The following is a 15,550-nucleotide window of genomic DNA, read 5'->3' on the forward strand; positions in this document are numbered from 1 at the left end:
TAGGCTCAAGTGATCTTCTCACCTCAGCCTTCTGAGTAGCTGGGACCACAGGTGCGCACCACCACACGCAGCTAATTTTTAAATTTTTTGTAGAGATGAGGTCTCGCCATGTTGCCCAGGCTAGTCTCGAGTTCCTGGGCTCAAGCCATCCTCCTGCCTTGGCCTCCCAAAATGCTGGGATTATAGGCGTGAGCCACCATGCCCACCCTGTTTCTTTATTAAAGAGATTTAGTGAAGGCCGGGCGTGGTGGCTCACGCCTGTAATCCCAGCACTTTAGGAGGCCGAGGTGGGTGGATCACGAGGTCAGGAGACCAGCCTGGTCAAGATGGTGAAACCCCATCTACTAAAAATACAAAAATTAGCTGGGCATGGTGGTGGGTGCCTGTAATCCCAGCTACTTGGTAGGCTGAGGCAGAGAATTGCTTGAACCCGGGAGACGGAGGCTGCAGTGAGCTGAGGTCATGCCACTGCACTCCAGCCTGGGCGACATAAGCGAGACTCCGTCAAAAAAAAAAAAAAAGGAAAAAATATATTTAGTGGGGTCTAATAATTTCCAAGTGGTGATGAGTATTATTACTATTTGGAGGTATCTGTAACGAAAGATCATGTGATAGGAAAATAAATAAACTGTGATTTCTACTGGTGACAAAATGAACAGATATTGCTAATATAATACTATTGTGGTGTTTTGGCTGAATTCACAGTGAAAGGAAATGCTAAATTTCAGTTAGAGGTTAAAGTAAAGATGTAATTTGTTTTTCTCAGTTTAACGACACCCTGAATTCTATATATAAACCCTTGGAGTATGTGTGAACCTCAGCTTAAGAACCACTGCTAGAAGAGTTTCTCTTCCTAGAAGTTCAAGAAATGTATTCTTGTGTCTCATTGACTTTGGGTTATGTTGTCATTTCTGAATGAACCATTAAGGCAAGAGAAATAGGATTTGCTAATTAGTTTAGCCAGCCTGGGCCTACCTCTGGAGCTGGGGGTCATTCCCTCCTAACCAGCATCATGGGAGAGGAAGTGGATTTCCAAGGGAAAATCAAGAAGCAGTGGATGGCAGGATCTGGAAGAATTTGCTAAGTGCCCCTAAATAAAGAGCCAGTAGATACTGAGTAGCAAATAGCATTATGTCCATCCTCTCCCTTTACCTCCATGGTCAACCAGTCATTAAGTTTTAGTGAAACTTTCATTTGCATTTGCCTTTTTGTGTTTAGTCTCTTTGATAATATCTTAAACCTCCAGTGTGGTAGTGTGTGGATTAGTCCATTGGATTGTGGAAAGAAAAATATTGAAACTTCTGTTTATTCTTCTCATCCTACTAGTATTTATATACATTTTATATGTATGTAAAATATATTAGTACATGATATATGTACATACATGTATATATATCACATCATATTTGTGGGTACATGTTAAAAATGTTTTAAAAAATGGGAATGGGAGAACCAGAAAAGTTGAGATAACTATGTAGAGCAGCGCTGTTGAGTAGAAATAGCCCTCTATCTGTGGGTTTATCATCCATGGATCCAACCAACCTCAGATGGAAAATACCTGAGGAAAAAAAATTACATCTGTATTGAACGTGTACAGATTATTTTTTTCTTGTCATGACAGTACAGCATAACTCTTTACATAGCGTTTACATTGTATTAGGTATTTTAAGTAATCTAGAGTTTGTTTAAAGTATGCGGTAGAATGTGCGTAGGTTATATGCAAATACTACACCATTTTATATCAGGAACTTTTTTTTTTTTTTTTTGAGATGGAGTCTCACTCTGTCACCCAGGCTGGAGTGCAGTGGCGCGATCTTGGTTCACTGCAAGCTCCGCCTCCCAGGTTCACACCATTCTCCTGCCTCAGCCTCCCAAGTAGCTGGGACTACAGGTGCCCGCCACCTCGCCCGGCTAATTTTTTGTATTTTTAGTAGAGACGGGGTTTCACCATGTTAGCCAGGATGGTCTCGATCTCCTGACCTCGTGATCCTCCCGCCTCAGCCTTCCGAAGTGCTGGGATTACAGGCGTGAACCACCACGCCCAGCCATATATCAGGAACTTGAGCATCCATGGAGTTTGGTGTCCAAGGGAGGTCCTGGAACCAATCCGCCATGGATACTGAGGGATGACTATAATATGAACCTTGTATGTATGTAATTTACCATTTTCTAGTTAGCCACATTAAAAAAGGAAAAAGAAACAGGTGAAAAATATTTAAAAAATACGTTAACACAATATATCCAGAACATGATTTCACATTGAAATCAATATAAAAATTACTGAAATAGTTTACAGTCTGGTGTGCATTTTAGACTTAAAGCATATCCCTTTGGGCATGGTAGCCCATGCCTGTAGTCCTAGCTGCTTGGGAGGCTGAGGCAGGAGAATCTCTTGAACACAGGAGTTTTAGGTTATGGTGAGCTATGATCGTGCCACTGGACTCCAGCCTGGATGACAGAGTGAGACCCGACTCCTTAAAAAAAAAAAAAAAAAAAAAGCACATCTCAGTTCAGACTACTAATATTTCAGGTGCCAAAGGCCACATGTGGTTAGTGGCTGCTGTATTGGATAGGACAGATCTAGACCAATGATCATTGTGAATTTAGATTTCTGTAATTGTCTCTATGACGTTTTTTTATAATTCCATATTTGCCCCCTTCAATCTTATACACAGTTGGCAGGTTAGTTGGACAAAAATTCCAGCGGGATGATGTTACTCTCCAAATGAGAACCTGCTCTAGGTTTAGACGTCATAAGATAGTCCCACCCTTCCTCTTCATTTTCTGGGACTCCCTGCAATAAACCTGGTATTCAGGCAGTTTCCTCAGCCTTGCTTTCTCCTTTCATTTCTCCAAATATTACATCTGTTTTACGAAGTCTATTCCCATAAAACCTTGTTGGACTCACCAATCCCTCTGTAACATCCTTACCATTTCCCAAATTTCTATGGTGTATATTGAGTACTTAGCCACTCAGCACGTTGGCATTTCATTGTATACTGTTGCTTGTTGCTCTTTGTTTCACGTGTAATGAGCCTTATCTCCCCTAATAAATTCTAAGCTTCATATATTATCCCTGAATTGTAGGCACATATCGAAGGCTTAGCTTTTCCTTATCTTTAGAAAGGACATAGCTGGGCTATGTAAATTTGTAGCTTTACGTTTTTTTGAAATGAATTGTTTATTCCAGTAAGTTTCATTTTTAAATTTAGCTTTTTTTTTTTTTTTTTTTTTTTTGATACAGAGTCTTATTCTGTTGCCAGGCTGGAGTGCAGTGGCACGATCTCGGCTCTCTGCAATCTCCGCCTCCCGGGTTCAAGCGATTCCCCTGCCTCAGCCTCCCGAGCAGCTGGGACTACAGGCGCATGCCACCATGCCTGGCTAATTTTCTGTATTTTAGTAGACAGGGTTTCTCCATGTTGGCCAAGATGATCTTGATCTCCTTACCTCATGATCCGCCCGCCTCAGCCTCCCAAAGTGCTGGGATTACAGGCCTGAGCCACCGCGCCCCGCCAAATTTAGCTTTTTGACTCTGTGCTTGTGCTTTCAACACTTTCACAATGATTTTCTGCTTCTTGATAAGGAAGGCACCCTTGATCCTGTCATGGATTCATTTAGCACACATTGGACCACGATAGGCCCTGCTGACATGTTTTTTTCATTGTAGACAGCATTATAAGAACTTTAAATCTCACGGCACAAACCCCTCGAAGTCTGTCTGGGCACATGCCACATGCCAATCTTGTGCCTTTCCCAACCTTCTTGGTTGGTAAACAGTTCTATTGCCAGGGGCTTGGGACACCCTATTTCTGTTGAAGGCTGTGTTGTAGGAAAGCTGATGATTGTATGTCATACACTGGACCATTCTGAGTGACTGTAGACAATGTCCCCGGAAAAAAAAGCAGTTGCTGTGTTTTCTACTCTGCTTGTTAACTTAGACACTTTTTAGCAGATTCATTTGTAGGAGTTGGTGTTCATTTGCTTTATGACAATTAAAAAGATTAATTTTGTTCATTGAGTAGTTTATTTGAAACTGTAGAATCATTCTTGGAACTACAGAATAGGGAATTATTGATTAGTTGGAGTTTCTGAAGATGAAATTTGAGTTTCGTAAGGTAGTCTCAAAGGACACTTTTGCTTTATTGTCCAGAAACCAGGAGAGGCAAACTTGTTTCCAAAGTAGGGCAAGAGGTTTTATTTCAAGTTCAGTCATCAGGATTATTCTCTGGAGGTTGTCAGTACTTTTTTACAAACCCTAGTCACTTTAACCCTAGGGAATAGGTTTCTCTTGTTCAGGCTGTCTTCTTTCTTGGATGAAGAGCTCTACCATCGTCACTATATTTTAGCTCATTTGTGGAACGAAGGACTATCAAAATGTTTCCTGAAAATAAGTCCAGGGAGGGCCTTAAGAGCTTTATGCTTTATTGAATCGTCTTTCATTTGACATTTTCTTTGCTGTATTTTACTTAACATAGGCTATGATTAGATTGATAAAAAGCTAAAAAAAAATACACCAACATTTTTAACTTGTGGAATTTCACAGCCGATTTATTACAACCTATTTTATATGCGAGGTAGTATGTTAAGTGTATTAGTTATATTTCCATCACTTTTTCTTTTAGCATAATTTTACAGATATTTATATTCTTTGGCAAATAGCAGTCTGTAAGAATTTATTCTTTTTTTCTTTCTTTTTTTTTTTTTTTGAGACAGTCTCACTCTGTTGCCCAGGCTGGAGTGCAGTGGTGTGATCTCAGCTCACTGCAACCTCCACCCCCTGGGTTCAAGCGATTCTCCTGCCTCAGCCTCCTGAGTAGCTGGGATTACAGGAGCCAACCACCATGCCCGACTAATGTATTTTTAGTAGGGATGGGGTTTCACCATGTTGGTTAGGCTGTTCTTGAACTCCTAACCTCATGATCCGCCTGCTTTGGCCTCCCAAAGTGCTGGGATTACAGGCACGTGAGCCACCATGCCCAGCCAAGAATTTATTCTTTTTATTTAACACTTTGTGTTTTCCCCCCTTTTAGGTAAATATAATAAAATTGGTTATTAAAGTCCAAAAAAATACTAACTTTACTGGAGAGTTCACATTTTTGTTTTATTAGCTGGTAGGAGGTTATAACTTTTCCTAAAATTAAAACGTGACTTTACATTCTAAGACTATGTGTGTGTGTGTGTGTGTGTGTGTGTGTGTCTGTGTGTGTGTGTATGTGTATGTATGTGTATGTATTTTTAGAGGTAGGGTCTCATTCTTTTGCTCAGACTGCAGTGCAGTGGCACGGTCATAGCTTACTGCAGCCTCAGACTCCTGAGCTCAAGCAGTCCTCTTGCCTCAGCCTCTTGAGTAGCTAGGACTTACAAGCATGCACCACCATGCCTAGTGCTAATTGCATGTATTTTTAAGACTGTAGGGTATAAAATTTTTTTACACTTAAAAATTACAGTATATGGGTTGGGTGCGGTGGCTCACGCTTGCAGTCCCAGCACTTTGGAAGGCTGATGCTCATAGATCACCTGAGGTCAGGAGTTCGAGACCAGCCTGACCAACATGGTGAAACCCTGTCTCTACTAAAAATACAAAATTAGCCGGGCGTGGTGGTACATGTCTGTAATCCCAGCTACTCGGGAGGCTGAGGCAGGAGAATCTCTTGAACTCGGAGGTGGAGGTTGCAGTGAGCCGAGGTTGTGCCATTGCACTCCAGCCTGGGCAACAAGAGTGAACCTCTGTCTCCAAAAAAAAAAAAAAAAAAAGTGAATGATTTATTTTCTTCTCTTTTTATTTGATTCAGGGACCTAGCCTCTGGATTTTGAGTGTTTGTGGTTACCTAAAATTTTGTTACTTTTTTTTTTTTTTTTTGAAACAGGGTCTCTGTCACCCAAGCTAGAGTGTAGTGGTGCATTCTTAGCTCACTGCACCTCAACCACCCAGGCTCAAGCAATCTTTCCATCTCATCCTCCTGAGTAGATGGGACTACAGGCATGTGCCACCACGTCCAGCTGATTTTTGTATCTTTTGTAGAGATAGGGTTTCACGCCTTTGCCCAGGCTGGTCTTGAATTCCTGGACTCAAGTGATCCTCCCTCCTCAGCCTCCCAAAATGCTGTGAGAGTGCAGGCTTGAGCACCATATCTGGCCTTACCTTGGTTCTTACTGCAGTTGTCTTGTTTTGTTTTGTGAATCTTTACCATGTTTATCTTGCTTTTAATTGTCCTATTTTAAAATGCAGAGAACATTCTCTCTGGCCAGGTGAGGTTAAAAAAAAAAAAAAACTGCAAAGATCAGTTGTAAAGCTTCTTTCAAGAATTGTTCCGGCCGGGCACAGTGGCTCACGCCTGTAATACCAGCAGTTTGGGAAGCCGAGGTGGGCGGATCACGTGAGTTCAGGAGTTTGAGACCAGCCTGACCAACATGGAGAAACCCTGTCTCTACTAAAAATACAAAATTAGCCAGGCGTGGTGGCGCATTCCTGGAATCCCAGCTACTTGGGCTGATTCAGAAGAATGGCTTGAACCCAGGAGGCAGAGGTTGCAGTGAGCCGAGGTAGTGCAGTTGCACTCCAGCCTGGGCAACAAGAGCGAAACTCTGTCTCAGAAAAAAAAAAAAAATTGTTCTTTCTCCTGGGAGTCGAGGAACAGCATGTTACCTAAGGTGGGGTGAAGGGAGGTTTCCAGGTTGGAAACAGAGCAGGTCAAAACTCCCATGCTGATCAGTAGTGGGATCGTGCCTGTGAATAACCACTGCCGTCCAGCATTGGCAACATAGTGAGACTCTGTCTCTTTAAAAAAAAAAAAATTCCTTTATGAACACTTCATGGGATTTCCTCCATCCCCTTTTAGGGGACATAACTAGAAGGAGAACATGCCTCCTTAAAAGGTATTAGTTTTAGCAATTAAAATCTCCCTGCCAGCTCATTTGTTGGTCTACTTAAATATTCAAGTTTTATTTCATTAAAGGTCTTTTCAGGTGTTTCAAGTGTTCCTTTAACCGAACACTTGTTGAACTGAACACTTGTTCATGTTTCTCATGTTTAATGGCTATGATTTAAATACATGTTGGTGTTACTGAAGTCATAATCCAGTGAGAATTCCTGTTAAAAGTGTTAAGATTTTGGACTCTTGCATAAGTCCCTTAAGGAGTGGTCTGACAGTTACTAATCTTTGTTTCCCATAGAATCAGGAATACCCTCTATCTTTAGATGTTCAGTCAAAATTCGTTAGAATTGAATTTGAGTAACCCACATGCTTGTATTTATACTGCTTATTTAGTATTCATGGAGAATGCTGTATGAAAATTTGATTAGTTCTTTTTTTTCCTTCCAAATTCCTTCCAATCAATAACTTAGAAGAGAAAATTAATCTCTACCTCTTTCCCTTCCCAATTTGTAAAAAATGAGTGTAACTTCCCATCTTTCTACTTTTAAAGGATGTTAGACTTCTTGGTTTATTAAAGTAAGAGTGATATTCTTGAAGATTCGACGTGAATTCAATTTAATGTTCTTGGCAGACACAAACTTAGTTTTTTTCCCTTTTAGAAGAAAACCATATCAAGCCTTCATTAATGAACCTCGGTGTAACTTTTGGCTTTCTCAAGACATTTGTCATTTGCGTTGTACGGCTGTGGTGTAGATATCTTGAAATAATGCTAAATTTTAATTTTATTTCCTTGTGCATTGTATTTGTTTTTAAACTCCTGCTCAGTTTACTTACCAAATATTAATAGTGTGCCTACTTTCAGTCTTCTATGTTTGAATGTCCCTTTAGTCTATGTTGCTGAAATTCTACTTTATGGAATAATACAGATAACTGTATTGGAAAGTGTAGTGTTTGCCCTCAGGAGCATTTACTCTGATAGGGTTAATGATTGTAAGCCCCTAACGAAATTTCCACACTAGTTACTAAGAATTTTTAAAGGATAAGTGATTTTGTTTGTAACCCTACAACCCTGTTCAAAACAATTTGATGTTTGTACTACAGGTTGAGTATCTCTTATCTTACATGCTTGGGACCAGAAGTGGTTTGGATTTTGGATTTTTTTTTTTGAATTTGTAATATTCACATATACGTAATGAGATATCTTGGAGATGGGACCCACATTGAAACACGGAATTCATTTATGTTTCATTTACTTTTTTTTTTTTTTTTTTTTGAGACAGAGTCTCGCTTTTTCGCCCAGGCTGGAGTGCAGTGGCTTGATCTCAGCTCACTGCAACCTCCACCTCCCAGGTTCAAGCGATTCTCGTGCCTTGGCCTCCCCAGTATCTGGGATTACAGGTGTGCCATCACACCTGGCTAGTTTTTGTATTTTAGTAGAGATGGGGTTTCACCTTGTTGGCCAGGCTGGTCTTGAACTCCTGACCTCAGGTGATCCATCTGCCTTGGCCTCCCAAAGTGCTGGGATTACAGGCATGAGCCACTGTACCCGGTATCATTTACATCTTATACACATAGCCTGAAGGTAGTTTTATACAATATTTTAAATAATTTTGTTCAGGAAACAAAGTTTGTGTACATTGAAGTGTTAGCAAAGGTGTCACAATCTTAGTCACTCATGTGCACAGTCTGTAGTTATTTAGCATCACCATCACACTCAACTGAATTTATATGATACTGATAAGCAGTCATTTTCTTATACTTATTCACACATAAGTATAAGAAAAAAGTAAAAAATAACAGTAAAAAGTATGACATACCATTAATATAGTGGAATAATAATGTGTTCAGGGTAACTAAGCACAATAGCATCACCAGAATATGTGTATCTGCTGTTAAGCAACATCATCAACAAATAAGGTTAGGCTTTCAGTCCCCACCTATGATGTTATTTTTTGATTAAAAGGTTTCTAGACTTTTTGTTTGTTTGTTTGTTTTATTAAGGCCGGAAGAAACATCAGAATCGATTGAGGGACCAGGAAATGGGGCCTCTAGGGAAGAGAAGGCATTCTGCTAGATGGCTTTTAAAAATATTTCCGCCAGAGTCACTTGTCTCATTAACAACAGTTTTTGTCTTAGAAGTCTCTCTGTGATTTTATAAACTAGCATGATTTTGTTATGAATGCATGCTGCTCTGGTTCTCTAATAAGCCCAACATGCATTTGCATCATGTCGGCAATAAGCACTTTTTTTGCTGTGTTAACAATGTCATCTTCATTGTTGTGTGCCTGTGTTTTGACTGTGACCTGTCACATGAGGTTGGGTGTGGAATTTTCCACTTGTGGCATCGTGTTGGAGCTCAAAAAGTTTTGGATTTTGGACCATTTCGGATTTCGGATTTTTGGATTAGGAATTCTCAACCTGTGCTATCAGCCAGGAGGTATAAATGATGTCTCCTTTGTGGGTTTAAATATAATTTATTACTTAAGAAGTTGCTTGTAATTGGTATGGATCAATAATTTATGCTTCATGACCTCTACCTTATGATGTGGTTAGTCATCTTTTGGCATTGGTGTGAGAAACAAGGTTTTCCAAAAGGAAAATCCAATTTTTTTTGGGTATTTCTAAAGTAAAGAAATTTTTTTAATTTTGTGCATTTAAATTATAATCATTACATAGAAATAAGTACATAAAAATGGAATATAAAATTACATACACTAATCATAGCTGGGAAAAAATAGTCCAAGACTTGGGCTACTGCAAAATTAAATGGTTTAATTAAGAGTAGATTTTGAGTAACTCTTGTTGTGTTGTTTATGCCATGAAAAAGGCAAGAGTTTATATTCACATATTTTAAAATAGTGTTGAAAAGAAAACCACGTACGGCCTGTTTGATACATTTCTCAGAAATCCTCATTTTATTTCAGTCTGATTCATAGACTTTCAAATGATCCTACTTGTAACTGTTTAGAAACTGTACTCCTCTAGCAAGAAAGAACCTTTTGTAATGATTTCTTCAGTTAATCAGAGAAAAGGCTTGTTGGACGATTTGATTTAGCTAGCTGCTTTGTTTGTTTTACTCCAAGAGTAAATGATGAGAAATGAAAAAAATATATAGGGCCGGGCATGGTGGCTCACGCCTGTAATACCAGCACTTTGGGAGGCTCAGGTGGGCGGATCACTTGAGGTCAGGAGTTCGAGACCAGCTTGGCCAATGTGGTGAAACCCCATCTTTACTAAAAACACAAAAATTAGCCAGGCGTGGTGGCGCATGCCTGTAATCCCAGTTACTGGAGAGGCTGAGGCAGGAGAATCGCTTGAACCTGGGAGGTGGAGGTTGCAGTGAACTGAGATCAAGCTACTGCACTCCAGCCTGGGTGACAGAGCGAGACTCTGTCTCAAAAAAACAAAAAAAGTATATGTAATATATATTTCAAGCAGCAAAATGACCCCAAAACTTCTCTTTTTGGTGAAAATGTTTTCTTGCCCTTTTCTCTCAAATGATTTAGAGTTCTTAGCCTTCTCTTTTTTCCCCCCTTTCCAGCATTTTTAAATTTTGTTATTTTTGTATCTAGTAGTTCTTAGGTAATTAGTTTAGTGTGGAAGTATTTCAAAACCAAAATCTAATATAAACCTTCAAATCATTGAAATCTGCATATACCAAAATTTCAAAAAAGTTTGTATATTTTAGTAGGATGGAAGAACATTTACTTTTTGAATAATATGTTCACATGCTTCAAACACAAAAGGTGCAAAAAATGAGAAGTTTTCTTCCTTCCCCTGTCTCTTGGGCACACTTTACCCCTCTCTGGAAGCAAACAGTGTTACCAGTTTCTTATCTATTCTTCCGGTATACGATTCTTTCTTTCTATGTATGTGTGTATGTGTGTATATATGACAGAAAGAAAGAGGTCTTGCTTTGTGCCCCAGGCTGGAGTGCAGTGGCATGATCACAGTTCAGTGCAGCCACAACATCCTGGGCTCAAGAAATCCTCCCACCTCAGCCTCCCAAGTAGTTGGGAATACAGGCATGCACCACTACGTCCAGCTAGTTTTATTTATTTATTTATTTATTTTTGTAGAGACAGAGTCTTACTTTGTTGCCCAGGTTAGTCTCAAACTCCTGGACTCAAGGATTATTCTGCCTTGGCCTCACAAAGTGCTGGGATTACAGGAGTGGGTCCCCAAGCCCAGTCACTGTCTACCTTTAAAAAAAAAAACAAGTATGGTAGCATACTCTGTATACTATTAGCTTGCTTTTTTCACCTAACAGTAGTTTTTAAATTCTTTACATATTGGTGTATGAAGAGTGTATTTGTGATAGAAAACTTAACAGTGACTTAAACAACAACAAAGTATTTTTCTTTTAAAAATTCAGGAGGGTGATTTAGGGCTCATCTGGAACTCATGGTGTGCTGTTTTTCTCTTACTCTCCTTTTTTTAAATTGAGGCATAATTTGGCCGGGCATGGTGGCTCACGCCTGTAATCCCAGCACTTTGGGAGGCTGAGGCGGGCGGATCCCACTTGAGGTCAGGAGTTTGAGACCAGCCTGGCCAACATGGTGAAACCCCGTCTCTACTAAAAAATGCAAAATTAGCCTGGTGTGGTGGCAGGTGCCTTAATCCCAGCTACTTGGAGGCAGAGGCAGGAGAATCGTTTCAACCCGGGAGGTGGAGGTTGCAGTGAGCCGAGATCGAGCCATTGCACTCAAGCCTGGGGGCAAGAGTGAGACTTCTCTCAAAAAAAAAAAATAAATAAAATAAATAAATTAATTAATTAATTGAGGCATAATGGATACAGTAACATACACAGATGTTAAGTGCATGGTTCAGTGAGGTCATCACCCCCTACCATCACTTTTCTGATTGGCCTTTTTCTATACTAATACTGCTCTATGTATGCTGCCTGTGTCCTCATTGACTTAGCAAGATCTCCAGCTATTGGAGCCCATTCCGAGCAGCAGGGTGCATGAAAGGGCAGAGGTTCTATGTTACCCTTTTAAAGGAAGGTTTCTAGAAGCTGTCACTTCATAGCAGTTTGAATTATGTTTCATTAGTTAGAACTTAGTGTCATAGCCACATCTGAATGCAAAGAAGGTTGAGAAATGCAGTCTTTATTATCTTTTTTTCCCATTATAAACAATGCTGCAGTGAATAACCTTATTCAGATTTATTTTTATTTATTTATTTTGAGACAGAGTCTCTGTTGCCCAGGCTGGAGTGCAGTGGCACTATCTCAGCTCACTGCAACTTCTGCCTCCGGAGTTCAAGTGATTTTCCTGCCTCAGCCACCTGAGTAGCTGGGATTACAGGCACCTGCCACCATGCCCACCTAGTTTTTTTTTTGTATTTTTAGTAGAGACAGGGGGTTTCACCATGTTGGCCATGCTCGTCTTGAACTCCTGACCTTAAGTGATCCTCCTGCCTTGGCCTCCCAAAGTGCTATGATTTTAGGCATGAGCCATCATGCCTGGCCTCAGATGGTGTTTTGTGGGATACATTTTTAGAAGGGGAACTACTGGATCAAAGAGTATTTGCAGTTGGACAATACACTTGTTTTCTCATATCCTTGCTGACACAGTTTTTGTATTTGCTAATTTCATAGGTAAAAAAATGACAGAGGGTAGCTCTAATTTGCCTGATAGGACATGTAGGTAGAGAAAATACTTCTATGCTTACATACTGATGATACCTAGAAAGCATGGATTACACAGTTAGCTAATGTAATGCTAGTTGGGGTGAAGCATATGCAGCATGTTTTCATTTTATTTAGGCCAATTGTAGCAGAAGATTGATGGTTAAAGGTAGATGAGAAACCCTTCTACTCACAAACATGTCACTGTGAACTGACAGGAAAACAGGGTAATAATGTATTCTTTAGGAGTTTTTAAATTAAAAAGTAGGTTAGGGCTGGGCATAGTGGCTTATGCCTCCTCACTTCAGGAGGTGAAGTGGGGAGGATTGCTTGAGGCCAAGAATTGGAGACCAGCCTGGACAACATAGCAAGACCCCACCTCTAATAAAAACCCCAACAAATTAGACAGGTGTAGTGACATGCACCTGTAATCCCAGTGCTTTGGGAGGCCAAGGCAGGAGAATTGCTTGAGCCCAGAAGTTTGAGACCACCCTAGGCAACATAGGGAGACCCTGTCTTTAGAAAAAAAATAGCTGGGCATAGTGGAGTGCACCTGTAGTCCCAGCTATGTGGGGGTGGCTGAGATGGGAGGATCGCTTGAGCCCAGGAGTTCAAGGTTACAGTGGGCTGTCATTGCACCACCGCTCTCCAGCCTGCGTGACAAAGTAAGACCTCATTTCTTTAAAAAAGAAAAAAAATCAATTCATGTATAAAGTTAATTTAGCATTAATTTTCTTTGGTCCTGTTTTCTATCACATACATTTCTTAACATTCAGAAACATATTTTTAACTGATCTTAAAGTACCCTTTAACCTAATGGGGAAAAAGAAAGTAATATATATTTTTTGGTTCTTTTTATATAATATTTTTTGTTGTGTTTTCTTTTTATTCTCTGATTGCTAAATGGGTTCAGATACATTACATGATATGTATTCTGCTTAAACTGTAATTTTTTAAATAGAATGTTAAGTGTCCTTAATTATATTTTTAACTATGAGCTTTTGGTTGGGACTTAAGGAAAAACTTCATAGTAATTTTCTATGCCACTGGGTAGTATTATAAGCTGTATTTACATTTTTTTTTTTCTTTTTTGAGACAGGGTCTTGCTCTGTCATTCAGGCTGGAGTGTGGTGGTGCCAACACAGCTCACTGCAGCCTCTACCTCCTAGGCTCAAGTGATCCTCACACCTCAGCCTCCAGAGTATCTGGGACTACAGGCGTGTACCACCATGCCTGGCTAATTTTTGTATTTTTCTCAGTAGAGATGTGGTTTCACCATGTTGCACAGGCTGGTCTTAACTGTTAGACTCAAGACCCTTCTGCCTCCCAAAGTGCTGGCGTTACAGGTGTGAGCCACTGTGCTCGGCCTGTACTTACTTTTAAAGTAGGAAATGGGAGCATTAAAAGAAAGGATATATATGCATGTTTTCCCCATACCACCTGATGAAGTCTTAGATAGCAGAGACCTCCTACTTAGCTACCATAGGTACTGTGGCATAGTAGATTAGACTCCCAATAGCAATGTTTTGGCTCTTCTGGGTGAGAGGGAGGGGTAGATGTTAGTACTTTTAAAATGTCAGTTCTTTAGGTAAAGAAACTTTTCTCCTTTTTTTTTGAAACGGAGTCTCACTCTTTCACTGAGGCTGAAGTGCAGTGGCACAATCTCACCTTACTGCAGCCTCCATCTCCCAGGTTCAAGCAGTTCTCCTCCCTCAGCCTCTCTAGTAGCTGGGATTACAGGCGTGTGCCACCACACCCGGCTAATTTTTGTATTGGTAGTAGAGACGGGGTTTCACCATGTTGGCCAGGCTGGTCTCGAACTCCTGACCTCAGGTGATCTACTCGCCTTGGCCTCCCAAAGTGCTGGGATTACAGATGTGAGCCACCCCGCACCCGGCCTTGTTTTTTTCTGAGACAGGTTCTCACTCTGCCACCCAGGCTGTGGTGCATTGGCACAATCTCGGCTCACTGCAGGCTCCGCTGCTGGTTTCAGATGATTCTTATGCCTCAGCCACTCGAGTAGCTGGGATTACAGGTGTGTGCCACCACACCCAGCTAATTTTTGTGTTTTTAGTAGAAGATGGGGTTAACCCTTGCCATGTTGGCCAGGCTGGTCTTGAACTTTGACCTCAAGGGTTCTTCCTACCTTGGCCTCCCAAAGCACTGGGATTACAGGCATAAGCCACTGTACCTGGCACTAGGTAAAGAAACTTTGTAAGGGCCTGATATCTATAATCTGAAGATAGAGACTTTGAGATACTTTGAGTACAGTATCGTCTCACTTATCTGGAGGTAAGATTTCTGTAAATCTCTGCTTTTTTTTTTTTTAAATCAATGAAGGCTTAATAAGCCAAGGAGTAGGAAAAAAGTATTGCTTAGTAAATGGGCATTGTGATCAACCTCAGGTTCTTTGCTAAGGTTCCTGTGACAGAATAGAAAGTATTGCCTGTCATGTTCTTTTCTGTATCCTTAGCACGGAAAGTGGGACCTAGCACATGGGTATTGTTCAGTAAACATTTGTTGAATGAATGAATTTTTATGAAGTGTGGTTTTTTTTTTTCCTTCCCTAGCACAGATTTGTGTGTGTGTGTGGAGAGAGGGATATAGAAACTTAACAGCAGTGGCTGACATTTTTGCTTATTTGTTAGGTATTGGTGGTGGTGTTAATCGGGTACGCATATGCTTTCCTTAGGATTTGCATTTGCTGTTCCCTGTGTCTAGAACGCTATTCCTTAGATAAATCTTCATTCCTTACCTCCTTAAAATGTTTTCTCATCTATCACCTTCTTAAGTCTGTACTGATCACCCTACTTAAAATTATAACTGCCCCTCTTTGCTTGCACTTCTAAGCTTCCTTACCCTAGTCTGTTTAGCAGTTACCTCCTTGAAACATGCTCTGTAGAATTTACTTATTATGACTATTGTCTCTCTTACTACCAGAATGTTAGTTCCTTGAGGGCTTTGTCTATTTGTTCACTGTATTCCAGGTGCCTAATAGATGCTCAAAAAATTATTATTATTTTTTTTGAGACAGGATCTGGCT

At 40.3% G+C, this 15,550-nt stretch overlaps 1 protein-coding gene and 1 pseudogene across 13 annotated transcripts in view, besides 2 other annotated features; one reads left to right on the forward strand and one right to left on the reverse strand.

The window, feature by feature from the left end:
- The window catches only part of FBXO34 (F-box protein 34), a 171,629-nt gene that overhangs the window by 7,358 nt on the left and 148,721 nt on the right, over positions 1-15,550 (forward strand). The gene's annotated exons all lie outside the window — the stretch shown is intronic.
- Positions 833-932: an enhancer, noted in NCBI's record as "active region_8428". NCBI's record gives its function as "activates an Ori minimal core promoter by ATAC-STARR-seq in GM12878 lymphoblastoid cells {active_cell/tissue: GM12878}" and the evidence as "EXISTENCE:reporter gene assay evidence [ECO:0000049][PMID:35858748]".
- On the reverse strand, positions 3,518-3,865 carry RPL34P28 (ribosomal protein L34 pseudogene 28; annotated as a pseudogene).
- Positions 9,075-9,204: a silencer, noted in NCBI's record as "fragment chr14:55754571-55754700 (GRCh37/hg19 assembly coordinates)". NCBI's record gives its function as "represses an EF-1alpha promoter that drives an FKBP-Casp9 reporter gene in an ReSE screen in HepG2 liver carcinoma cells and K562 erythroleukemia cells {active_cell/tissue: HepG2 | K562}" and the evidence as "EXISTENCE:reporter gene assay evidence [ECO:0000049][PMID:32094911]".

This window comes from Homo sapiens, chromosome 14 (assembly GCF_000001405.40).
Source record: "Homo sapiens chromosome 14, GRCh38.p14 Primary Assembly".
NCBI lineage: Eukaryota > Metazoa > Chordata > Mammalia > Primates > Hominidae > Homo > Homo sapiens.